The sequence below is a fragment of the Homo sapiens genome, chromosome 7 (assembly GCF_000001405.40).
Source record: "Homo sapiens chromosome 7, GRCh38.p14 Primary Assembly".
Taxonomy (NCBI): Eukaryota; Metazoa; Chordata; class Mammalia; order Primates; family Hominidae; genus Homo; species Homo sapiens.
This window is the reverse complement of record NC_000007.14, coordinates 100230002-100254255: the sequence shown is the minus strand read 5'-3', so window position 1 is coordinate 100254255 and position 24254 is coordinate 100230002. Positions and strand designations below refer to the sequence as shown.

Here is a 24254-nt window from a genome sequence, read left to right as displayed (position 1 = left end):
AAGGTCAGGAGTTCAAGACCAGCCTGGCCAAGATGGTGAAACCCCGTCTCTACTAAAAATACAAAAAAAGAATTAGCCAGGTGTGGTGGTGGATGCCTGTAATCCCAGCTACTCGGGAGGCTGAGGCAGAGAATTGCTTGAAGCCAGGAGGTGGAGATTATGGTAAGCCGAGATCGCACCACTGCACTCCAGCTTGGGCAACAGAGCGAGACTGTCTCAAAAAAAAAAAAAAAAAAAAAAAAAAAAAAAAAGCATGGCTGCAGGTCTCAGTGTTGCAGAAGGTTCCCATATCTAGAGCCCAAGAGGCCATGCACTGAGCTCAGATACTGCCTGTGGTGCTTCTGATCACCTGCCCCTTATGCCCCCTTCCAAAAATGTGGGTCTGGGAGAAGGTGGTGATTTTAAGACAGCACAGCTCCTACCTGTACTGCAGGCCCTGCCCTGCACACCACGTGTGTTCCTAGAATATCCCATGAAAAACAAATGGTTTGGCCAGGTGCAGTGGCTCACGCCTGTCATCCCAGCACTTTGGGAGACCAAGGAGGGAGGATCACTTGAGGTCAGGAGTTGGAGACCAGCCTGGACAATGTAGTAAGACCCCCATCTCGAAAAAATTTTTTAAATTTTTAAAAATTTAGCCAGGTATGGTGGCATACGCCTGTAGTCCCAGCTACTCTGGAGGGCAAGGTGGGAGAATCTCTCGAGCCCAGGAGTTTGAGGCTGGCAGTGCACTCCAGCGTGGGCGACAGAGCGAGACCTTGACTTTAAATAACAACAAAAAAATTCAACCATTAGGATCTTCCCCAAGTTTATGCTACCAACGAGTGTTAGTTCTCTAAAGCCAGCACCGGCCGGGCGCAGTGGCTCACACCTGTAATCTCAGCACTTTGGGAGGCCAAGGTGGGCAGATCACTTGAGGTCAGGAGTTCAAGACCAGCTTGGCCAACATGGTGAAACCCCATCTCTACTAAAAATACAAAAATTACCTGGGCGTGGTGGCAGGAGCCTGTAATCTCAGCTACTCGGGAGGCTGAGGCAGGAGAATTGCTTCAACCTGGGAGGTGGAGGTTGCAGTGAGCCAAGATCACGCCTCCAGCCTGGGCAACAGAGTGAGACCCTGTCTCAAAAAGAAAAAAAAAAAAAGATGCCAGGACCCCTAAATCCTATAGGAGAAGGAAGGTTCTTAAGTCGCTCAAACACACACATCTGTTGGGAGGGCAGATTCTCCTGCAGTCTGGGCCTTTCTCCCGCAGAGGGCAGGGACAGGTGGCCCAAGGGAGAGCAATTCAGGCAATTTGTGTGATCCAGGAAGGCCATGCCTCTGGTCTCCCGAGAGCCTGTTCATCACCCCCATGGGGAGTCAGGCCCCTTTCACAGTGGCTGGGGAAGACAGAGACTGAGCAGTGAGAAGGTTCTGTCTGGTTTTCTTTTTTTCTTTTAATTTAATTATTTTTTTCCGAGACAGAGTCTTGCTCTGTCACCTAGGCTAGAGTGCAGTGGCGTGATATTGGCTCACTGCAACCTCCACCTCCTAGGTTCAGGCAATTTTCCCACCTCAGCCTCCTGAGTAGCTGGGATTATAGACATGCACCACACAGCTGGCCAATTTTTGTATTTTTAGTAGAGACAGGGTTTTGCCATGTTGGCTAGGCTGGTCTTGATCTCTTGAACTCAAGTGATACACCCGCTTTGGCCTCCCAAAGTGCTGGAATTACAGGCGTGAGTCACTGCGCCTGGCCTTTTTTTTTTTTTTAATAATATTTTACAAAAATTGATATTAAACTGTTCTCACTCTTGGCCTCTGGCTTTCATTGCTCATTGCTCATCTGTTGTTCAGAGATGGCCGAGGTCACGGGCCACTTCTTTTTTTTTTTTCTTTTTTGAGACGGAGTCTCGTTCTGTCACCCAGGCTGGAGTTCAGTGGTGCCATCTCGGATCGCTGCAACCTCTGCCTCCCGGGTTCAAGCAATTCTCCTGCCTCAGCCTCCCAAGTAGCTGGGATTACAAGTGCCCGCCACCACACCCGGCTTTTTTTTTTTTTTTTTTTTTTGAGACGGAGTCTCACTCTGTCACCCAGGCTGGAGTGCAGTGGCACGATCTCGGCTCATTGCAAGCTCCACCTCCTGGGCTCACGCCATTCTCCTGCCTCAGCCTCCTGAGTAGCTGGGACTACAGGAGCCCGCCACCACGCCCAGCTAATTTTTTGTGTTTTTAGTAGAGTTGGGGTTTCACCATGTTAGCCAGGATGGTCTTGATCTCCTGACCTCATGATCTGCCCACCTCGGCCTCCCAGATTGCTGGGATTACAGGCGTGAACCACCGCACCCGGCCCAGGCTCCTTTTTTTAAATGGACCTCAGGCGTGCAGAATTTGATGACTCAGAATTTTTGGTTCGTGACATACTTATTGATCCTGCTTTTACTTTATGTTTGTTTATCATTTGAATAACACTGCCCCCCACACCGACCATGACATTGATGGTAACTGCTCTCTGCCCACATTTATCTTTCCCTTGATTTTTGCAAAGGCTTTCATCCCATTTATATGTATGGAAAAGATACCTGGCAGCCTGCGATCTTCTGAGGCATGCTTTTTTTTTTTTTTTCATTCCACATTGCATTTCAAAATGCAGAAGATATTCTGTGTTTCTATTACTGTAGGATATTAGGGCATTCAGCCATAACACTGGAGGGAATTTTCCTTTTTTTCTTTTTCTTTTTTTTTTTTTTGAGACGGAGTCTTGCTCTGTCACCCAGGCTGGAGTGCAGTGGCGCTATCTCGGCTCACTGCAAGCTCTGCCTCCCAGGTTCATGCCATTCTCCTGCCTCAGCCTCCCGAGTAGCTGAGACTACAGGTGCCCGCCACCACACCCGGGTATTTTTTTTGTATTTTTACTAGAGACGGGGTTTCACCATGTTAGCCAGGGTGGTCTCGATCTCTTGACCTCGTGATTCGCCCATCTCAGCCTCCCAAAGTGCTGGGATTACAGGCGTGAGCCACCATGCCTGGCCTTTTTTTTTTTTTTTTTTTTTTTTTTAATTGAGACAGGGTCTTGCTTTGCCCAGGCTGGAGTGCAGTAGTGCAGTTATAGCTCACTGCAGCCTGGACCTCCTGGGCTCAAGCAGTCCTCCTGCCTCAGCCTCCCAAATAGCTGGGACTACAGGAGCATGCCACCATGCCTGGGTAATTTTTGTTTTGTTTTTGAGATGGAGTCTTGCTCTGTCACCCAGGCTGGAGTGCAGTGGCGCAATCATAGCTCACCGCAGCCTCTACCACCCAGGCTCAGGCAATCCTCCCAACTCAGCCACCTGAGTAGCTGAGACTAACCACTGTGTCCACCTATTTTTTTTTTCTGTAGAGATGGGATCTCACTATGTTGCCCAGGCTGGTCTTGAACTCCTGGCTTCAAGCAATCCTCCCGCCCCAGCCTCCCAAAATGTTGGGTATGGGCATGAACCACTGCACCCAGCCTGGATTAATCTCAAAAATAATATATTGAGCAAAATAAACCAGGCAGAAAATAGGACACAATGTGTGTGTTTCCATGGATTTGAAGCGCAAAACAGACACAGTGAATCCACGGCACTAGAGACTAGAGCAGTGGCTGCCTCCAGTTGTTGGGAAAGGAGCACGGAACACTTTCTGCAATGATGGGAATGTCCAATATACTTATCGGGGTGCTGGTTAAATGGGGGATATACACTTGCCAAAAGTCATCTAATTGCCCACCTGAAAATCTGTACATTTTGTTATAGTAAGTTATGCCGCAATTGTAAAAACCGAGTTTGGGGTTAAAAAAAAATACATATCTATAAGAAACCATGACCCGAGCTCAGATTTTATCTTATTAAAAACATGTTTTGGTGCCAGGCGCGGTGGCTCACGCCTGTAATCCCAGCATTTTGGGAGGCCGAGGCGGGCAGATCACAAGGTCAGGAGATGGAGACCATCCTGGCTAACACAGTGAAACCCCTTCTCTATGGTGGCGGGCGCCTGTAGTCCCAGCTACTCGGGAGGCTGAGGCAGGAGAATGGAGTGAACCCGGGAGGTGGAGCTTGCAGTGAGCCAAGATGGCGCCACTGCACTCCAGCCTGGGCGACAGAGCGAGACTCCATCTTAAAAAAAATTAAATAAATAAATAAATAAATAAACATGTTTTGACTAGGTGCAGTGGCTTATACCTGCAATCCCAGCAATTTGGAAGTCCGAGGCAGGAAGATCTCTTGAGCCAGGAGTTCAAGACCAGCTTGTGCAACATAGTGAGACCCTGTCTCTACAAAAAATAAAAAATTAGGCTGGGTGCGGTGGCTCACACCCATAATCCTAGCACTTTGGGAGGCCAAGGCGGGTGGATTGCTTGAGGTCAGGAGTTTGAGACCAGCCTGGCCAACGTGGTGAAATCCCGTCTCTACTAAAAGTACAAAAATTAGCCAGGCATGGTGGTGAGTGCTTGTAATCCCAGCTACTCGGGAGGCTGAGGCAGGAGAATCACTTGAATGCGGGAGGCAGAGGTTGTGGGGAGCTGAGATCGTGCCACCGTACTCCAGCCTGGGTGACAGAGTGAGACCCAGTCTCAGAAATAAATAATAAAATAAGAAATTAGTTGAGTGTGGTGTCACGCACCTATAGTCCCAGCTACTCGGGCAGGAGGATCACGTAAGCCCAGGAGTTAGAGGCTGCAGTGAACTGTGATTGGTGCCGTTGCATTCCAGCCTGGGTGACAGAGCACGAACCTGTCTGGGAAAAAAAAAAAAAAAGGAAAAGAAAATCCCCATGCACCTAACCACCAGCCACACTATAGTTGGGTGAGCTGGAAGGTGTGAGCATCTGTAGGTCCTCAGCCCATGAAGATGCCCTGCCTGCCTGGTGGTGGGAGACACAGTGGCCTTTATCACATTCTCCATAATTGGATATGAGGGAAGCATGGGACCGTGACCCCTGGAGGGACTGCAGGGATTGCCCACGCCAGTCATCTCACTGTACAGCTGGAGAAACTGAAGCCAGGACAAGGAGTGGGCCAAGGTTCCATAGTGAGCAGGGGATGCTCTGTCTGCCTGGTGCACAACCCTCCTGTCCAGCTCCCAGTGCCCCCACCCACCCCACCCCAGGCCAGGAGCGGCCTCTGGCACCCAAGACAGGTGCAGAGTCAATCAGCAAATACTACAAGCCTCGCCCAGAACTGGGAGCTGGGGTAGCAGTGACAAAGCCTCCTTGGTCTCTGCCCACTCAGCAGCCCAGGCCAGGGTGGAGTTGGTAAACTTCAGCAGTGATCTAATGGCCAGACACCTCCCTAAGTAGGCACTGACGGTTGGAGGGGAGGTGTGGGTAGTGTTGAGGAGGGGACGTAGTGGAGCATGGTTCGTGAAGGTGTCCACCCTGAGACCTGAAGGCTGGGGAGTGGAATGAGGGTCCCGGGGGAGGATACGGCACACTAACGAACGAGGAGGCGCCCAGCAGTGGCCCCATGGGGGCTGGACAGAAACAGCCCAAGTCACGGAGCTGGAAGCCATCCTGGGGCCCTTGGTGTTATCATGGAGACAGTGGGAGCCACGGGAGGTGCTTGACCCAAGGAGCGAGGTCATCACATTTGTGCTTTGAGAAGTGCCTTTGCCTGTACTGTACAGCGTGGATGGACAGGGTCTCAGGAGACCCAGGAAGAGGCTTGTGAGATGACAGCAGGGATGAAAAAGGCTGGATTTGAGGTCCCCAAGGGGTCAGTCAAAGAGGGCTTGGTGAATCGAGTGGCACACAGCAGGTGGACACCAGGAAGAGTCTGGGTGGGGGTCAGGGGGATGGGTCACTGCTGGAGGTGAAAGGTCTTCCCAGTTCTGGTCCTGGCTCGTGCAAGGTGTGACCTCTGGCAGATCCCGTCCCTTCTCTGATCCTGGGTTTTTGTTTAAAGATGATCTATTCCATGCTAAAATTCTTTCCCCTTAAGATGCTAATCAAGGGACTATAGGTCCCTGTATGGTGGCTCAATCCTGTAATCCTAACCCTTCGGGAGGCAAAGGTGGGAGGATGGCTTGAGGCCAGGAATTCAAGACCAGCCTCAGCAACATAGTTAGACCCTGTCTCTACACGAAAAGATTTTTTTTTAAGACAGAGTCTCGCTGTGTCACCCAGGCTGGAGTGCAGTGGCATGATCTCAGCTCACTGCAACCTCTGCCTCCTGGGGTCAAGCGATTCTCCTGCTTCAGTCTCCGGAGTAGCTGAGATTACAGGCACCTGCCACCACGCCCAGCTAATTTTGGTATTTTTAGTAGAGACAGGGTTTCACCATGTTGCCCAGGCTGGTCTCGAACTCCTGGTCTCAAGTGATCCACCCGCCTCTGCCTCCCAAAGTGCTGGGATTGCAGGTGTGAGCCACCATGCCTGGCACCCCCCTTTCTTATTTGCTGGTGAACTGGTGGTAAACTGTGCCACAGATTTAAAAAAAAAAAAAACACTTGTAATTCTCTTTTCTCTGCTACTTTAGCTGGTTCATAAATCAGACATCTCAGAAAAGGTTTTGCCAGGCAAGTTTACCTGGAAGTGTCTCTCCCCTGCTGCACCCTCCTTCCCCCTCTGCCTTGGGGTTTCAGGTCTGTTGCTGGAACAGGGCTCTGGCTGGGCCAGGGCTCCTCGCCCAGGATGCCCAGGGAGAGGCCCCGTGTGAGGGCCTGACTCTGCGGGCTTAGGAATCCCAGAGTAAACAGATCAAGTTACCTGTGTCAGCCGGGCCATCCACAACAGGCAGCAGCAGCAATTGAAGATGGGAGTGTTCTTCTCAGAGATGACTCAGCTACTCAGCTTCTCGGCCCAGATCGGGGACCACCCTGGGCCTCAGCTCTGCCCTGGTGCTTGGCTCCAGGCCAAGGCCGGGGTTGGGTGGTGGGGGGAACAATGGATTTTGAGAGTCAGTGGCTGGTGTGCAATTCTCTTTCACCCCACCAGGCTGAGGGCACATGTCAACAACTCTGGCAGCGTGAGGGGACCAGCTGCGACCTGGGTCATCTGTAAGGTGGTGGCTCAGCCTCTCTAAGCCTCAGTTGCCTCATCTGTCAAATGGGCAGCAACAGCTATGTCAGAGAGTTGATGGGACAAATGAATCAACCGCCCGGGTGTGGTGGTTCATGCCTGTAATCCCAGCATTTTGGGGGGCTGAGGCGGTTGGATCACTTGAGATCAGGAGTTCGAGACCAGCCTGGTTAACATAGTGAAACCCCATCTCTACTAAAAAATACAAAAATTAGCTGGGCATGGTGGCAGGCGCCTGTAATCCCAGCTACTTGGGAGGCGGAGGCAGGAGAATTGCTTGAACCCGGTAGGCAGAGGTTGCGGTGAGCCGAGATTGCGTCACTGCACTCCAGCCTAGGCAACAAAGCAAGACTCCGTCTCCAAGAAAAAAAAAAAAAAGAATCAACCAAGGTGGTTGAAGCCAGGGTGCAGGGAGAGAAGTGCAAGTCTGCAGGGAGAGCCTGGACCATGGTGGTTGGAAGCCCAGGAGTGAGCATCTGGGGAGAGGGTGTAATAGGAGATGAGAGACGACCCCTTGAGAGCTGCCTACGCTGGGGAGGAGAAGAGCAGCCACCACAGGAAGCAGAGGACTGTCAGTGTCCAAGACGTCAGAGGAGACCGTGCGGGAGATTGCAGATTCCAGGGAGGCCTTGGCCAGCCATGTGGGTCCAGGCAACAGGTCATGGGCAGGGAGGCACAAGGGAAGACGTCATCGGGCTGGGCTCAGGGAGGTCACTGATGAACGGAGCGGGATGCCCTGGAGGGCTTGAGGACGTGGCCCAATGGCAGGTGGTCGGGGTAAGGAGGTGGCCTCAGGAGGAGATGGGGATGAAGGAAGACTTTTTTTTTAGGACAGAAGAAACTTGATCCTATTTATTGCTAAGACTAAGAAGCCAAGTATGAAACCGACAGCTCAGGGAGGTGCTTGGGAGAGTCATGAAAGGAGGAAGGAGTTTGCCAGAGTGCTGTTTTCCTGAGGCCAGAGAGAAGGGATCAGATGGGTGGACAGGCCAGACACAGTGGCTGACACAGTGGCTCACATGTAACCCCAGCACTTTGGGAGGCTGAGGCGGGAGGATCACTCGAGGCCAGGAGTTCGAGACCAGTTTGAGCAATATAGTGAGACCCTGTCTTTACAAAAAAATGAAAAAAAAAAAAGGCCGGGCACGGTGGCTCACGCTTGTAATCCCAGCACTTTGGGAGACCGAGGCGGGCGGATCATGAGGTCAGGAGATTGAGACCATCCTGGCTAACACGGTGAAACCCTGTCTCTACTAAAAATACAAAAAAATTAGCCAGGCATGGTGGCAGGCACCTGTAGTCACAGCTACTTGGGAGGCTGAGGCAGGAGAATGGCGTGAACCTGGGAGGCAGAGCTTGCAGTGAGCCGAGATCATGCCACTGCGCTCCAGCCTGGGCAACAGAGCAAGACTGCGTCTCAAAAAAAAAAAAAAATTAGCCAGGCATGGTGGTGTGTACCTGTAGTTGCAGCAACTTGGGAGGCTGAGTTGGGAGGATCACTTGAGCCCAGGAGTCTGAGGCTGCTGCAGTGAGCTATGACTGCATCACTGCACTCCAGCCTGGGCAACAGAGCAAGACTTTATCTCAAAAAAAAAAAAAAGATGGGCGAATGATCAGAGACTTTCTGAGAGGGTGCCCTTCCCAGTTGGTCTGTGTCTTAGGAAATCTGGGGTGTGTGTTGGGGTGCTGAGCAAGGCAGAGGGGCAGGGGTGGAAGAGGTCTGGGGGAGGGAAGGTTAAGCTGACCCAGCAAGGGGTAGATGGGCCCCGGTGGCAGGAAGGGGGATTTCTGAGCTGCATGTCTTTGCTGAGGGTGAGTTTGGGCAGAGGTCATCTAAGGATGGGGCCAGCCGAGGGGCCCCCAGGAACACCCAGCCCCACAGGCCAGCAGTACACGGTAGGGTTGGAGTGGTGGTGGCCGCAGGAGATGAGTGTGACCGGGAACCAGGGCCACTCCCAGAGTTACCATGTGACAGGACAACAACTCCAGCCCATGCCCCAGCGTGTCCCCAAAGTCCTTTAATAGCAAGGCCTCCAGAGAATGTTGCGTCCCAATTCATAGTGTCAGGGCAGGACTGCAGGTTACTTTAGGGTCACATATTTCCATTGTGGTCTTCAGCATGTTGACACAAACTGTCTGCATGCTGGGAAAGGTCAGAGATTGTGTGTCTCGGTGTGCTTTCTCAGCTCTGGTGTAAGGAACACAGAAGGTTGAATGTGCTTCTGGTTATGTCGGGAAAAGACCAGGGAAGTGTCGTGCCATTAACCAAAACCAGAAATGGATGCTGTTTATGAAAGCAGCCACAGCATGCCTGGTGCTTTTTTTTTTTTTGGAGACAGAATCTCGCTCTGTCACCCAGGCTGGAGTGCAGTGGCGCGATCTCGGCTCACTGCAACCTCCGCCTCCCAGATTCAAGCAATTCTCCCACCTCAGCCTCCTGAGTAGCTGGGATTACAGGTGCCTGCCACCACGCCCGGCTAATTTTTTTTTGTATTTTTAGTAGAGACGGGGTTTTACCATGTTGGCCAGGTTGGTCTCAAACTCCTGACCTCAGGTGAACCATCCCCTCGGCCTCCCAAAGTGCTGGGATTACAGGCATGAGCCACCGCGCCCGGCCGCCTGGTGCTTTTTTAATTTTATTTTTTATTTTTTGAGACAAGGTCTTACGCTGTCACCTAGGCCGAAGTGCAGTGGTGCAATCACAGCTCATCACTGCAGCCTCGACCTCCTGGGCTTGAGCAATCCTCCTTCCTCAGCCTCCTGAGTAGCTGGGACTACAGGTGCATGCTACCAGGCCCTGTTAATATTTTTTTTTAGATTTTTTTTTTGGTAGAGGCAGGGTCTCACTGTGTTGCCCAGGCTGGTCACCTGGTGATTTTATCTACAAAGGGACATTGATTCCCCACCCTGGTTCCTGAAGGCAGACAGTATGTACCCCTCTTGGAAGTTTGGGGAACAGGCTCAGGAGCTGTGTAAATATGCCCAAGACCACAGGATCGAACAGCCAACTCCAAAGCATTGCCTTTTTTTTTTTTTGAGACAGAGTCTCACTAGTCCGGAGTGCAGTGGTGTGATCTACACTGCAGCCTCGAACTCCCAGGTTCAAGCGATTCTCGTGCTTCAGTCCCCCAGGTAGCTAGGATTACAGGCATGTGCCACTACGCCAGGCTAATTTTTGTATTTTTAGTAGAGATGGGTTTTCACCATGTTGGCCAGGCTGGCCTCGAACTCCTGACCTCAAGTGATCTGCTTGCCTTGGCCTCCCCAAAGTGCTGGGATTACAGGCATGAACCACTGTGCCTGGCCAGGTGTTTTTGTTTTTTTTTTAAATCATAAGTAGTTGTAACTCTGTAAAAAGTGTACCCTGCCATACACAATGTCTGGGGACTTGTTTTTCAACCCACAGTGCTGTGACATTGCTGATACTTGTTTATCTCTTTGCTTAACACTGTGGATGGTTCATGTTGCCTGCTGGGTAATATTCTGCCATTCTTCATGTCCTCTCCTGCTGATGGGCATCTGGGCTGTGGCCAGGTTTTTGTTACTGAGAACAGGCTGTCACGGATCCTCTTGTCTGTGTCTCCCGTTACGTATCTGTAAAGGGTGCATGTCTCAGAATGGAAACGCTGAGTCATGGGGCGTATGCTACAAGTCCCCCCTGCCTTCAGGAAGTCCCCAACCCGTACAGGCAGCTCAGCCCCGGCTCGGCAGACCCCAGGCAGCTAACTCCTTTAACCCAACTAAGCTTCGGTTTTCCCGTCTGTGAAATGGGAATCATTCTACAGCACATTCATTAAGGTCACACTGATTACAGACCTCGTACCAAGCCCTGTGCTGGGCATGGCGGCCCTGGAGGAGGAGATGCAGCCTTGTCTCTTGCTCGCAAAGACAGAAATGGGGCGGGGCACGGTGGCTCACACCTGTAATCCCAGCACTTTGGGAGGCTGAGGTGGGTGGATCACCTGAGGTCAGGAGTTGGAGACCAGCCTGGCCAACATGGCGAAACCCCATCTCTACTAAAAATGCAAAAATTAGCGGGGCATGGTGGCACACACCTGTAATCCCGGCTACTCGGGGAGCTGAGGCAGGAGAATCACTTGAACATGGGAGGCAGAAGTTGCAGTGAGCCGAGATCGCACCACTGCACTCCAGCCTGGGCAACAGAGTGAGACTCCATCTCAAAAAAAAAAAAAAAAAAAAAAGGCAGACAGACATGGAAGTGATTAATCTCAGTACTATAATGGATATCGCCATGGCTGGGGAGGTGATAGGCTGGTAGGGGTGAAAGGAAGTTGGACTGGGGACCGTGAGAATTGGGGAGATCCAAAATCAGTGATCATTTTGCACCAAGACCTGACAAGCAGAAGGTATACTCTTGTCTACAAGGACTGAGATCTCCTTGGGGGGAGCCTGGGTTCCTGGGGCTTTCCCCAGATCTTTGTGATTTCTTCTGCCCTATCCATCCCCTTTGGTAGCCCTGCCTCTCCATAATCACCCTGGAATTTGCCAAACACCATCACCCACGCTGTCTGATTGGATTCAGCCTGGTCGCCCGTGACACAAGCACATTTTATTTTCTATCTTTTTTTTTCTTTTTTTGAGATGGAGTCTCACTCTGTCGCCCAGGCTGGAGTGCAGTGGCGCGATCTCAGCTCACTGCAAGCTCCACCTCCCGTGCTCACGCCATTCTCCTGCCTCAGCCTCCCGAGTAGCTGGGACTACAGGCACCCGCCACCGCGCCCAGCTAATTTTTTGTATTTTTTTTTTCAGTAGAGACACGGTTTCACCGTGTTAGCCAGGGTGGTCTCGATCTCCTGACCTCGTGATCCACTCACCTCGGCCTCCCCAAGGGCTGGGATTACAAGCATGAGCCACCGCACCCGGCCTTATTTTCTATCTTAAGGCAAAATAACTCCTGTTCAGGATCGCCCTTCCAGTTGCAGAACCAATTAAGGGCTTTTTTCTAAGTAAAACTTGAAAGGGCAGCTTCTAGTTGCTAAAGACAGGAGAAATGAAATGTAAATAACACGAGAGACCCATTGAAAACCCAGGAGAAACAGATGAAAAAGCTGCAGCTGGTTAGCAGAACAAAGCCGGGCATTCACCCTCCCCCCGATTTTCCTCTGGGAAGAAAAGCTCCATGAACTGTGGCCCCGAAACACTTCTATCACTCACTGCCTTTTTTTTTTTTTTTTTTTTTTTGAGATGGAATCTTGCTCTGTCTCCAAGCTGGAGTGCAGTGGCTGGCGTGATCTTGGCTCACTGCAACCCCTGCCTCCCAGATTCAAGTGATTCTCCCGCCCCAGCCTCCTGAGTAGCTGGGCACTCAGCCTCCTGAGTAGCAGGCGCACACCACCATGCCCAGCTAATTTTTGTATTTTTAGTAGAGACGGGGTTTCACCTTGTTGTCCCGGATGGTCTTGATCTCTTGACCTTGTGATCCGCCTGCCTTGGCCTTCCAAAGTGCTGGGATTACAGGCATGAGCCACCGCGCCCGGCCGCTCACTGCGTGTTTTAAAAGGCCCCTGTCAGCCGGGTGCACTGGCTTACACCTGTAATCCCAGTACTTTGGGAGGCCGAGGCTTGGGAGGATCGCTTGAGGTCAGGAATTTGAGACCAGCCTGGGCAACATAGCAAGACCCCGTCTCCACAAACATTTAAAAATTAGCCAGCCATGGTGATGTGCATCTATAGTCCCAGCTACTCAGGAGGCTGAGGTGGGAGGACCACTTGAGCCCAGGAGTTGGAGGCTGCAGTGAACTATGATCATGCCAGTGCACTCCAGCCTGGGTGACAGAGCAAGACACTGTCTCTAAAGGAATGAATGAATGAATGAATGCTACTGTTAGCCACATCAGAAAAACATCAGCAGGGAGGCAGCCAGAAGTTGGCTGGCAGGGGCAGGGGTGGGCAGTCTCCGGAAGCAGGTGAGGCCCTGATCCCTTCATTCCCTCACTTGGATAGGCTGCAGGAGATGTGGCCAAACCTCCCTCATTCCAGACAGAATGGGCCACACTTTGAAAGAAACACCCCTGTCCTTCCAGGCTGGTGCTGTAATCCCAAGTGGGCTGAGAAAGGACCTGCTTTAAGTAAGGCCCGAGAATGTTTTGTAAACAGGGCCTATAACATCCAAGACGCCTGTCTTGGGGCCTGTTTGCAGAGCCTCTCTTTTTTGGGTGGGTGGGTCACTTGAGCAGTGAAGGCTCTGGGCTTGTTTCAAAACCCCGCTGGCCAGGCTCTTTTTTGTTTGTTTTTGAGATGGAGTCTCGCTCTGTTACCCAGTCTGCAGTGCAGTGGCATGATCTCGGCTCACTGCAATCTCCACCTCCCCGGTTCAAGCAATTCTGCGTCAGCCTCCCGAGTAGCTGGGACTACAGGTGCGCGCCACCACGCCTGGCTAATTTTTTGTATTTTTAGTAGAGGTAGAGATGGGGTTTCACCATGTTGGCCAGACTGGTCTCGAACTCCTGACCTCAGGTGAGCCACCTGCCTCTGCCTCCCAAAGTGCTGGGATTACAGGCATGAGCCACTGCACCCAGCAGGCCAGGCTATTAATTCCAAAGGTCCTGGCTTGTTCCCAGGCAAGCTAGCAGGTGACCTTGGCAGAGTCTGGCTGACACAGAGTATGGTGACCCTGCAGGAATCAAGCCTGCATCTTTTATTTTATTTTTTAAGACAGGATCTCACTGTGTCACCCAGGCTGGAGTGCAGTGGTGCAATCATGGCTCACTGCAGCCTCCGCCTCCCAGGCCCAAGTGATCCTCCCACCTCCACCTCCTGAGTAGCTGAGACTACAGGGGCACACCACCATGCTCAGGTAATTTTTAAATTTTTTTGTAGAGATGGAGTCTTACCATGTTGCCCAGGCTGGTCTCAAACTCCTAGGCTCAAGTGATCCCCCTGCCTTGGCCTCCAGAAGTGCTGAGATTACAGATGTGAGCCACCGCGCCCGGCCTCCCGCCTGGAGTTTTTTAACAGCACTTAGCACCCATACTGGGTACTTTCTGGCATTTGCTCCTCTTTCCAGCTCTTTGTAGGCAGAGTACAGAGAGGCCACAAACCCCGGGGGCCTGGCATCTGGGGTGTGCACCTGGCCATGACTCATTAGAAAAGGCGGAGAGAGAATTAGAACTGGAGACCTTAGCTTCTCCAAGAGGAGGGTTAAGTCAAGATGATGCCACATGAGGGCAGACAGGGTTTTTTCTCATTGAGGCTTCTTTGATTTTGAAGGCAAGTGTGTGGCCACAGGCCATCCTTTCGCTCAGCAATCCTTGAGTGTTGATTCCATGTCCAGCCAGTGTCAGATACAAGGTGTGTGTACGGAGGACCCTCTGTCCTTGCTTCTGAGCGCTGTGGTCTACTGAGGGAAGTAGACCCTTAAAGTATGATTTGTAATAGATTGTGGGAAGCACTCGGCACTGTCACATGCAGTTGCATGGGTTGTGCGCTGCACAACTCTAAGGGCATAATTCACATAGACTGTGAGATGAATTGTATCCTAGGGCTGTGATGCACCACCAGCCCAGTTGTCCACAGTGGCCTGAAAGTCATCTCATAGACATAGTGTGGGGCTGTAGGCTGTCAAAGGAGGACAACCTCTATGATGGGAGATGAGGGAAAGGAAGTGGCTGGTGTTGATCAGGCAGGGTTTTTGTTTTTTTTTTTTTAATTTTTAGTAGAGGCAGGGTTTCACCATGTTGGCCAGACTGGTCTTGAACTCCCAACCTCAAGAGATCCATTCACCTCCACCTCCCAAAGTTCTGGGATTACAGGTATGAGCCACCATTTCTGGCCAGGAAAGGTTTTACCCCAGAGGAGATGTTTGAACTGGGTCTTAAAGGATGAACATGAAATCTTCAGCCAACAAAGTTGGGAGGCTATGCTGGGTAGATGAAAGAACATTTAGGCTGGGCGAGGTGGGTCATGCCTGTAATCCCAGCACTTTGGGAGGCTGAGGCGGGTGGATCTTCTGAGGTCAGGAGTTTGAGACCAGCCTGGCCAACATGGTGAAACCCTGTCTCTACTAAAAACTCCAAAAAATTAGCTGGATGTGGTGGCGGGCGCCTGTAATCCCAGCTACCTGGGAGGCTGAGGCTGGAGAATCGCTTGAACCCCAGAGGCAGAGGTTGCAGTGAGCCAAGATGTGGCACCACTGCACTCCAGCCTGGGCAACAAGCGTGAAACTTCATCTCAAATAAAAAAGAAAGAACATTCGTCACTGTTGGAGGCATGAGACTGTGGAGGCAGGTGCGTTGAGGCCAGGAGTGGAAGAGGGAGACAAGACAGAAGGGTAGTCCAGTCTTGAGTTTGCTTTGTGGGGAGTGGTGGAGAGGCAAAAACGGATCTCAGAGTGACCTTCGAGTAAAGAAGACATGGGGCTGTGTGGAGTGGCTCACACCCATAATCCCAGCACTTTGGGAGGTGGAGGTGGGAGGATCACTTGAGGCCAGGAGTTCAAGACCCACCTGGGCAACATAGCAAGATCCCATCTCTATAAAAATTTAAAAAATTAGCTGGGTGTGGTGGTGTGCACCTGTAATCCCGGGTACTTGGGAGGCTAAGGATGGCCCGCAAGGGGGTGCTGTGCTTGGACTGGGGAATGGCCAACTGCCCAGCAATAGGGAGATGACTTCGAGAAGCAAAGATAGGAAGGTTAAGCTTGATAAGACAAGAAATGCAGCAGATGTAATCCAAAGGCAAAGGGGGGACCTGTAGCTTGAATTAAGAAGTGGTGTGGGCTGGGCGCAGTGACTCACTCCTATAATCCCAGCACTTTGGGAGGCCAAGGCAGAAGGATCACTTGAGCTCAGAAGTGCAAGACCAGTCGGGACAACGTAGTGAGACCCTGTCTCTACAAAAAATAAAAAATTAGCCGGCTGGGCATGGGTAATGCACGCCTGTAGTCCAAGCTAGTTGGGAGGCTGAGCTAGGAGGATTGCTTGAGCCCAGGAGGTCAAGGCCACAGTGAGCCAAGATCATGCCACTGCACTCCAGCCTGGGCAACAGAGCAAGAGCCTGTCTCAAAAAAGAAAAAAAAAAAAAAAGGCCGGGTGCGGTGGCTCATGCCTGTAATCCCAGCACTTTGGGAGGCGGAGCCGGGTGGATCATGAGGTCAGGAGTTTATGACCACCCTGGCTAACACGATGAAACCCTGTCTCTACTAAAAATACAAAAAATTAGTCGGGCGTGGTGGTGGGCGCCTGTAGTCTCAGCTACTCTGGAGGCTGAGGCAGGAGAATGGCGTGAACCCAGGAGGCGGAGCTTGCAGTGAGCCGAGATTGCGCCACTGCACTCCAGCCTGGGTGACAGAGCGAGACTCCATCTCAAAAAAAAAAAAAAAAAAAAAAAAACAACAACAAGGAGGTCAAGGAGAGGGAGGAGTCTGGGGGCCGACTCCTGAGGGTAGTGACCAGAGCGACGGCAGCAGGTGCCTCCGGCTGATCTGCCCTCCCCGAAGCCCACCCGTGCCGAGGTGCACATTCTGAGATGTCCCCTAGCTGGCAGAGCCACAGAATTGCTCAGCCCCTGGGGACAGGTCACTTCAACAACATATTTATACTCCGTTTACACACAGGCCGCTGTTGCCTTCTGCTGGTGTTTATGCCTTCCGGAATAATTTGTGCGGTCTATTTCTGGAGTGTCCCTCAGAGCCGAGGGCGCCGGGAGCAAGGGCCGCGTCTGTTTGCCTCCCCGGGGCTCTCGGGCAGCTGGGCAGCCCCACCCCACCCAGGGAGTACCAGCTCATGGCAGTCTGGTGACTGTGGGAGTCCAGGGCTCTTTCTGAGTTCATGGGGGTCCCTAGGAAGGGTCCAGGCCTGACCAGTGATTGCCACTTACTGTGGTGATAATTTGCTGTTGTTCTCAAAGCAATTATAGATTTCACGTATCCAGGCAATACTTGCAAATTGGATATGGGACAGGCAGGGACAGAGACGTAATTAGAAAACTGAAGAGCCGGAGGGAAATTGATGAGCGTGGGTGGTTGTTCCAGCAGAATGCGTTACGCCCCTCCCAGGGGGAGAGAGGCCACCTCATGGATGACCCTAGCACAGGATTTTTTTTTTTTTTTTTCCCCGAGATGGAGTGGCTCTGTTGCCTAGGCTCTAGTGCAGTGGCACGATCTCAGCTCACAGCAACCTCCCAGGTTCAAATAATTCTCCTGCCTCAGCCTTCCAAGTGGCTGGGATTACAGACGCCCACCACCACGCCGGGCTAATTTTTATATTTTTAGTAGAAATGGGGTTTTGCCATGTTGGCCAGGCTGGTCTCAAACTCTTGACCTCGAGTGATCCGCCCACCTCAGCCTCCCAAAATGCTGGGATTACAGGCGTGAGCCACCGCAGCAGACCAAGCATTTTCTTTACATTCAAGTTTATCAAGGTATGATTTACATACAGCGTAATTCACAAATTCACCCCTTTTTAGCAGATAGTTCTTTGGGTTTTGACAAATTTATATGATCTTGTGAGGTTTTTTTGAGATGGAGTCTGAATCTAATCACCCAGGCTGGAGTGTAGTGGCGTGATCTTGGCTAATTGCAACCTCCGCCTCCTGGGTTCAAGCGAGTCTTCTGCCTCTGCCTCCCCAGTAGTTGGGATTACAGGTGCCCACTGCCACGCCTGGCTAATTTTTGCATTTTTTTGTAGAGACAGGGTTTCACCATGTTGGCCAAGTGGTCTCAAACTCCTGACCTCAGGTGATCCTCCCACCTCTGCCTCTCAAAGTGCTGGGATTACAGGCGTGAGTCACCGTGCCCGGCCTAAATTTATGTGAATTTATATGATCTTGTAACCACCGCCACACTCAAGAGGCCCATCCCCCCAGAATTTCCCAGTGCCCCTCTCTAGTCAGTGTCTACCCGTCCCCTGATAACTGCTAATCATTTGTCCCTATAGTTTGGCCTCTTCCAGAATGTTGTATGAATAGAAACATACAGTATAGAATCTTTTGAGCTTGGCTGTTTAACTTAGCAAAATGCACTTTAGATCTACCCGTGTTAATGCATGAATCGGTAGTTTATTCCTTTTAATTGCTGACCCGTATTTCCTCATGTGGATGTGCCTTAGTTTATCCTCTTTCCAGTTGAAGGAAGGACATTTGGGTTGTTTCCAATTTAGAGCAAATACAAACAGGCAATATGTATTCGCATCTAAGTCTTTGTGCGGGCACCTGTTTTCACTTCTCGTGGATGAATACCCAGGAGCAGGATAGCTGAGGCTGGGTGGTCAATGTGTGCTGAACTTTATAAGAAATTGCCAGCTGGGTGCAGTGGCTCACGCCTGTAATCCCAGCACTTTGGAAAGCCAAAGAGGGAGGATCGCTTAAGGACAAGAGTTCAAGACCAGCCTAGACAACATAGCAAGACCTCATCTCTACAAAAACAACTTTAAAAACTAGCTGGACTGTCTGGGCACGGTGGCTCACGCCTATAATCCCAGCACTTTGGGATGCTGAGACGGGTGGATCACCTGAAGTCAGGAGTTCGAGACCAGCCTGGCCAACATGGAGAAACCTTGTCTTCACTAAAAATACAAAAATTAGCCAGATGTGGTGGCGGGCGCCTGTAAGCCCAGCTACTGGGGAAGCTGAGGCAGGAGAATCACTTGAACCTGGGAGGTGGAGGTTGCAGTGAGCTGAGATGCCACTGCACTCTAGCCTGGGTGACAGGGTGAGAGACTCTGTCTCAAAAAAAAAAAAAAAAATTTAGCTGGACATGGTATTGTGTGCCTGTAGTTCCAGCTACTCAGGAGACTGAGGCAGGGGAATTGCTTGAGCCCAGGCATTCAAGGCCTCCATGAGCTGTGATTGCATCACTGCACGCCAGACTGGGTGACAGAGCAAGACCCTATCTCTAAAAAGAAGAAAGAAACTGCCAAATGAATGTTTGAAGGGCTGGGCCATTTTGTACTCCCACCAGCAGCATAAGAGAGTTCCAGTGGCTCCATATCCTTGTGAAAATTTTCAGGAATAAGTTTTAAAAAGGAGCTGGAGAGGTTCTGTAGATGAGGGGGCTGCAGGGCAGGTGGCAGGAGAGGAGGCCAGGGAGGAGGGCGACCCATGGATACACCAGCCACCCCCATCCCCTGCAACACTGTCCACTCAAAGATCCCTTTTCCATTTGCATATTTGAGAGAGTGATACTTGCCCTTTGCCTGGTGATATGGTTTGGCTGTGTGCCCACCCAAATCTCACCTTGAATTGTAATAATCCCCACGTGTCAAGGGTGGGGGCAGGTGGAGATAATTGAATCATGGGGGTGGTCTCCCTCATACTGTTCTCGTGGCAGTGAATAAGTCTCAGGAGATCTGATGGTTTTATAAAGGTAGTTCCCCTGCACATGCTCTCTTGCCTGTTGCCATGTAAGACGTGCCTTGGCTCCTTCTTTGCCTTCTGTCATGATTGTGAGCACCCCCGCCCCCGCAACCCTGCCAACCACCAACCAGCCACGTGGAACTATGAGTCCATTAAACCTTTTCCCTTTATAAATTACCCAGTCTCGGGTATGTGTTTATTAGCAGCATGAGAACAGACAAATACACCTGGGTTACTTGTGGGCTTCTTTCTGTCCTGGCTCCCCTCAATGGGTGGGGATGCAGAGCCCATGCCTGGCTTTGTGCTTGAGAGCCGGAACACCAGATAAGCGGCCAGGGGTCAGTTTCCTGCAAGCCTCTGCCTGTGCACGCTTGGACTTGCCATCTCTGCTTGCAATACTCTCTAGGGTGCAGTGGGGGTGCGGTTCTGGCTAAATGGGGAACAGGGACACGGGGGTTGAGGGGGTGATGACCCCCATCACCCAAGGACCAAAAGCCTTGAAGCCCAGCCTGAGAGCGGCCTGGACACAGACTTGGGCACCAAAACCATGCCCAGGACTGAGGCCAGCAGGGTCACAGTTCTGGTCCCTGTTTTTGGGGAACAGATGGTCTCGTTTTGGGGGTAGATGAGCAACATACCTCCCCGGCTGAGCGGTGCTATCAGAGGTGATGTGAGGTGGGGCAGAGATCCATGTCCCAAAAATGTCACGGATGGCCGCATTCCTCTCTCTTTAGGGATGGAAAGTTAACCAAGGGCTGGGCTGTCAGTCAGCTGGTGGGAATTAGGCATTTTTGTGACTTGGAGCTCCAGAGTTGCTGAGGAGGAGCCCAAGACAATGGGAGGGGAGATGGGAACAGACACCTAGAGGTTACAGTGGCAGGGCCATGGAAAAGACGGCTCCTCTGCCTGACCCACACTGGAGCCACCCTTTGGCCACTTCTTCCCTCCAAGAAAACTTGGGATCTCGGGCCCTCAGGCCTGGACACAATCATAGGGGCTGACTGGCTCAGAGGTCCCCAAAGATTGCGGGGGTACAGTGGGGACAATCAGCATCTCTGTGCCTCTCCTGAGTGAGAACTGAGTAGGGGGACATGAAGGGAGAGATAAACAACTTACCCGCGGTCACCCAGCAGCCTGGGGCTGGAACTCTGGGTAAACTGAGACATCATCCCCGGGGCACGGGTGGGCAGCTGCCCCAGGGGACCTGCCTGGACTAATGAGATATTCTGTGTCTGTCTGTCCATCCATCCAGGTGCAAGTTCTTCAGTCTGACTGAGACACCAGAGGATTACACTATCATTGTCGATGAGGAAGGATTCCTAGGTAAGTGCTTCTCTCCCTAGGGGCTCGGCTGGACCATGCCCCGAAGTCAGGGCTGGCTACCCACCTCCTTATTTCTGTCCCCAACCCACCTCCTTATTTCTGCCCCCACCTACCTTCTTATTTCTGCCCCCATCTGCTGGTCAGCTAGAAAAACAGCAGAGTGTATTTCCTTCTCTCCCTGGGTTCTGGAGGGTCCCCTCCCCTCCTGCTCTTGAGATCGCCCTAGGAAAGACTCCTGAGTAGTAAGTAGGTATGGCACTACTCAGCTGAGAATTAGATCAACCCAGAAGAAAAGGAACATGTTTCACTGAAACCTGCAAAGTGCTTTAGAACATCTTCAGTCGGGCGCAGTGGCTCATGCTTTTAGTCTCAACACTTTGGGAGGCTAAGGTGGGAGGATCACTTGAGCCCAGGAGTTTGAGACCATAGTGAGACCCCGTCTCTACTAAAAAATTACTTTAAATTAACTGGACATGATGGCATGTTCCTGTGGTCCCAGCTACCTGAGAGACCGAGGCAGGAGGATCGTTTGAGCCCAGGAGTTGGAGGCTGCAGTGAGCTGTTATTGAACCACCGCTTTCCAGGCTGGAAGACAGAGCGAGACTCTATCTCTTAAAAATAAAAAAAATAAAAGTGTCTAGCTGGCAAGGGCACAGTTTAAGAGGACTTCCCAGAACTAAAGCAACACTTGAAGTGAACCCAGCTAAGAGTAAAGAGCCAGGCATGGTGGTGTATGCCTCTACTCCCAGCTACTTGGGAGGCTGAGGTGGGAGGATTGCTTAAACCCAGGAGTTTGAGACTGTAGTGTGCAATGATCACGCCTGTGAATAGCCACTGCACTCCAGCCTGGGCAACATAATAAGAACCTGGATTTTTTTTTTTGAGATGGAGTCTCACTCTGTCATCCAGGCTGGAGTGCAGTGATCTTGGCTCACTGCAACCTCCGCCTCCCAGGTTCAAGCCATTCTCCTGCCTCAGCCTCCCAAGTAGCTGGGATTACAGGTGCCCACCACCACACCTGGCTAATTTCTGTATTTTTTAGTAGAGATGGGGATTCACCCTGTTGGCCAGGCTGGTCTAGAACTCCTGACCTCAGGTGATCCACCCACCTCAGCCTCCCAAAGTGCTGGGATTACAGGCGTGAGCCGCCTCGCCTGGCCTGAGAACCTATTTCTTTTTTTTTTTTTTTTTTTTTTTTTGAGACGGAGTCTTGCTCTGTCACCCAGGCTAGAGTGCAGTGGCGCGATCTCAGCTCACTGCAAGCTACACCTCCCAGGTTCACGCTGTTCTCCTGCCTCAGTCTCCCGAGTAGCTGGGACTACAGGCGCCCACCACCATGCCCGGCTAATTTTTTGTATTTTTTAGTAGAGACGGGGTTTTACCGTGTTAACCAGGATGGTCTCAATCTCCTGACCTCGTGATCCACCTGCCTCGGCCTCCCAAAGTGCTGGGATTACAGGCGTGAGCCACTGCGCCCGGCCCTGAGAATCTATTTCTTAAAAAAAAATTAAAATTAAAATTAAGTGCCCCTCCCCACCCCGCCCCCTGCCAGGTGGAAAACATAATGGAGGGGCACTTTCCAGGCAGAGAGAACCCCATGTGTGTACAGCCACAGCTTGTAGTACTGGGGACACACTTGGCATCCCCAGGGAACTAGAGTGTGGGAAGAGAGAGAGGAGGACAGGGCTTGCCTGGAGGAGGAGGGATCAGGAAAGATTCCTCCATGTGGCTGCACACACATGGGCTTCTCTGCCTGGAAAGCACCCCTCCCTTCATGGTTTCTACCTGGCATGCAGGCACTTAAATTTTTTTTTTTTTTTTTTTTTTTTTAAGAAACAGGTTCTTGCTATGTTGCCCAGGCTGGAGTACAGTGGCTAATCACAGGTGTGATCATAGTGCATAGCAGCCTCAGACTCCTGGGTTCAAGCAATCCTCCCACCTCAGCCTCCCGAGTAGCTGAGAGTAGAGGCGTGTACTGCTGTGCCTGGCTCTAGACTTTTTCCTGAACTCCTCTCCTGTACTTTATTTGGGTTAGAAGCAGCATGGGGAGACTTCTGCAGCATGGCTCTTTCTGGGGGCTCAAAAGCAGAAGTTCCTGGTGAGCTCACGTGGTCATGGAGGACTTCCTGGAGGAGGTGATATTTTTGCTGGCCTTGTGGGGAAGGAAGAAAACATGTCAGAGGAGAGCTGAATGAGAAAGTACAGGAGCAGAAGCAAGGGCCAGGTCCAGCACGTAAAAAAGGGGAAGACAGAGGTAGGCAGGGAAAGTTTGGATCATATTCTTCAGGCACTGGGGAGCCACTGAAGGTTGTTCGGCTGGGTTAGGGCTGAGTTGGGGTAGAGTCTCCTGGGGTGTGTGTGTGTGTGTGTGTGTGCAGGAGAGGGAACAAGGAGTGAAGTAGGAAATTCCTGGGGGTGAGTAAGCTCTCTTCATATAGAGGTCCTTGGGCCCAGGCTGAGACCCTCGGCTGGCCCAGGGAAGGAATTGCCCGCAATCCCTCGACTCTGCCATTCCCCAGAGCCTTGTGACTTTTGAAACTGCCTTGCCCTGCCCCTCCCTGAGCCTTTCCCAGCCACAGGCGCAGCACTGAGGAACACAGGGACCACTGGGAAAGCAGGTTTCAATTAGCCCAGCAAGGCCGGAGGCTAGCCAGCCAGCCAGCCTTACCTCTGTGACTTCAGGGTAAGGGCTTCCATTCCAGGGTGCGTTTCCTGGTCAGCAAACTAGGCTGCTTGGAAATCTATTATTGCCCAAGAAAAAAAAAATTGAGTGGATTTGTTTTTTCTCTTTTTTCTTTTCTTTTTTTTTTTTGAGACAGAGTCTCACTCTGTCACCCAGGCTGGAGTGCAGTGGCGTGATCTTGGCTCACTGCAACCTCCACCTCCCAGGTTCAAGCGATTCTCCTGCCTCAGCCTTCTGAGTAGCTGGGATTATAGGCACCCACCACCATGCCCGGCTAATTTTTTTGTATTTTTAGTAGAGGTGGGGTTTGGTTTCACCATGTTGACCAGGCTGGTCTCAAACTCCTGAACTCAAGTGATCCACCTGCCTTGACCTCCCAAAGTGCTGCCAAAATATTAGCATTTTGGCCAGGCACAGTGGTTCACATCTACAATCCCAGCACTTTGTGAGGCTGAGGCAGGCAGATCACCTGAGGTCAGGAGTTCAAGACCATCCTGGTCAACATGGTGAAACCCCATCTCTACCAAAAATACAAAAATTACCTGGGCATGGTGACACATGCCTGTAGCTCCAGCTACTCAGGAGGCTGAGGAAGGAGAATCGCTTGAACCCACGAGGCAGAGGCTGCAATGAGCCAAGATCATGCCACTGCACTCCAGCCTGGGCGATGGAGAAAGACTCCATCTCAAAAAAAAAAAAGTTCGAGGCCGAGCGCGGTGCCTCACACCTGTAATCCCAGCACTTTGGGAGGCGGAGGTGGGTGGATCACAAGGTCAGGAGATTGAGACCATCCTGGCTAACATGGTGAAACCCCATCTCTACTAAAAATACAAAAAAAAATATGCCAGGCGTGGTGGTGGGCGCCTGTGGTCCCAGCTACTCGGGAGGCTGAGGCAGGAGAAAGTCGTGAACCCGGGAG

At 51.5% G+C, this 24254-nt stretch overlaps 1 pseudogene across 4 annotated transcripts in view, besides 3 other annotated features; it reads left to right on the top strand.

The window, feature by feature from the left end:
• Positions 1 to 24254, top strand: part of CASTOR3P (CASTOR family member 3, pseudogene) — a 71580-nt pseudogene that overhangs the window by 17977 nt on the left and 29349 nt on the right. For all 4 annotated transcript variants that reach the window (NR_028040.1, NR_028039.1, NR_166147.1 and 1 more), the window contains exon 2: positions 20582 to 20652. The product of NR_028040.1 is annotated as a CASTOR family member 3, pseudogene, transcript variant 4 (transcript). The remainder of the gene's footprint in view (positions 1 to 20581; positions 20653 to 24254) is intronic.
• Positions 5098 to 5894: an enhancer, noted in NCBI's record as "H3K27ac-H3K4me1 hESC enhancer chr7:99845985-99846781 (GRCh37/hg19 assembly coordinates)". NCBI's record gives its function as "activates a minimal SCP1, AML or CMV promoter by ChIP-STARR-seq in naive H9 embryonic stem cells {active_cell/tissue: H9 hESC(naive)}" and the evidence as "EXISTENCE:reporter gene assay evidence [ECO:0000049][PMID:30033119]".
• Positions 6693 to 7490: an enhancer, noted in NCBI's record as "H3K27ac-H3K4me1 hESC enhancer chr7:99844389-99845186 (GRCh37/hg19 assembly coordinates)". NCBI's record gives its function as "activates a minimal SCP1, AML or CMV promoter by ChIP-STARR-seq in naive H9 embryonic stem cells {active_cell/tissue: H9 hESC(naive)}" and the evidence as "EXISTENCE:reporter gene assay evidence [ECO:0000049][PMID:30033119]".
• Positions 10353 to 10752: an enhancer, noted in NCBI's record as "active region_26353". NCBI's record gives its function as "activates an Ori minimal core promoter by ATAC-STARR-seq in GM12878 lymphoblastoid cells {active_cell/tissue: GM12878}" and the evidence as "EXISTENCE:reporter gene assay evidence [ECO:0000049][PMID:35858748]".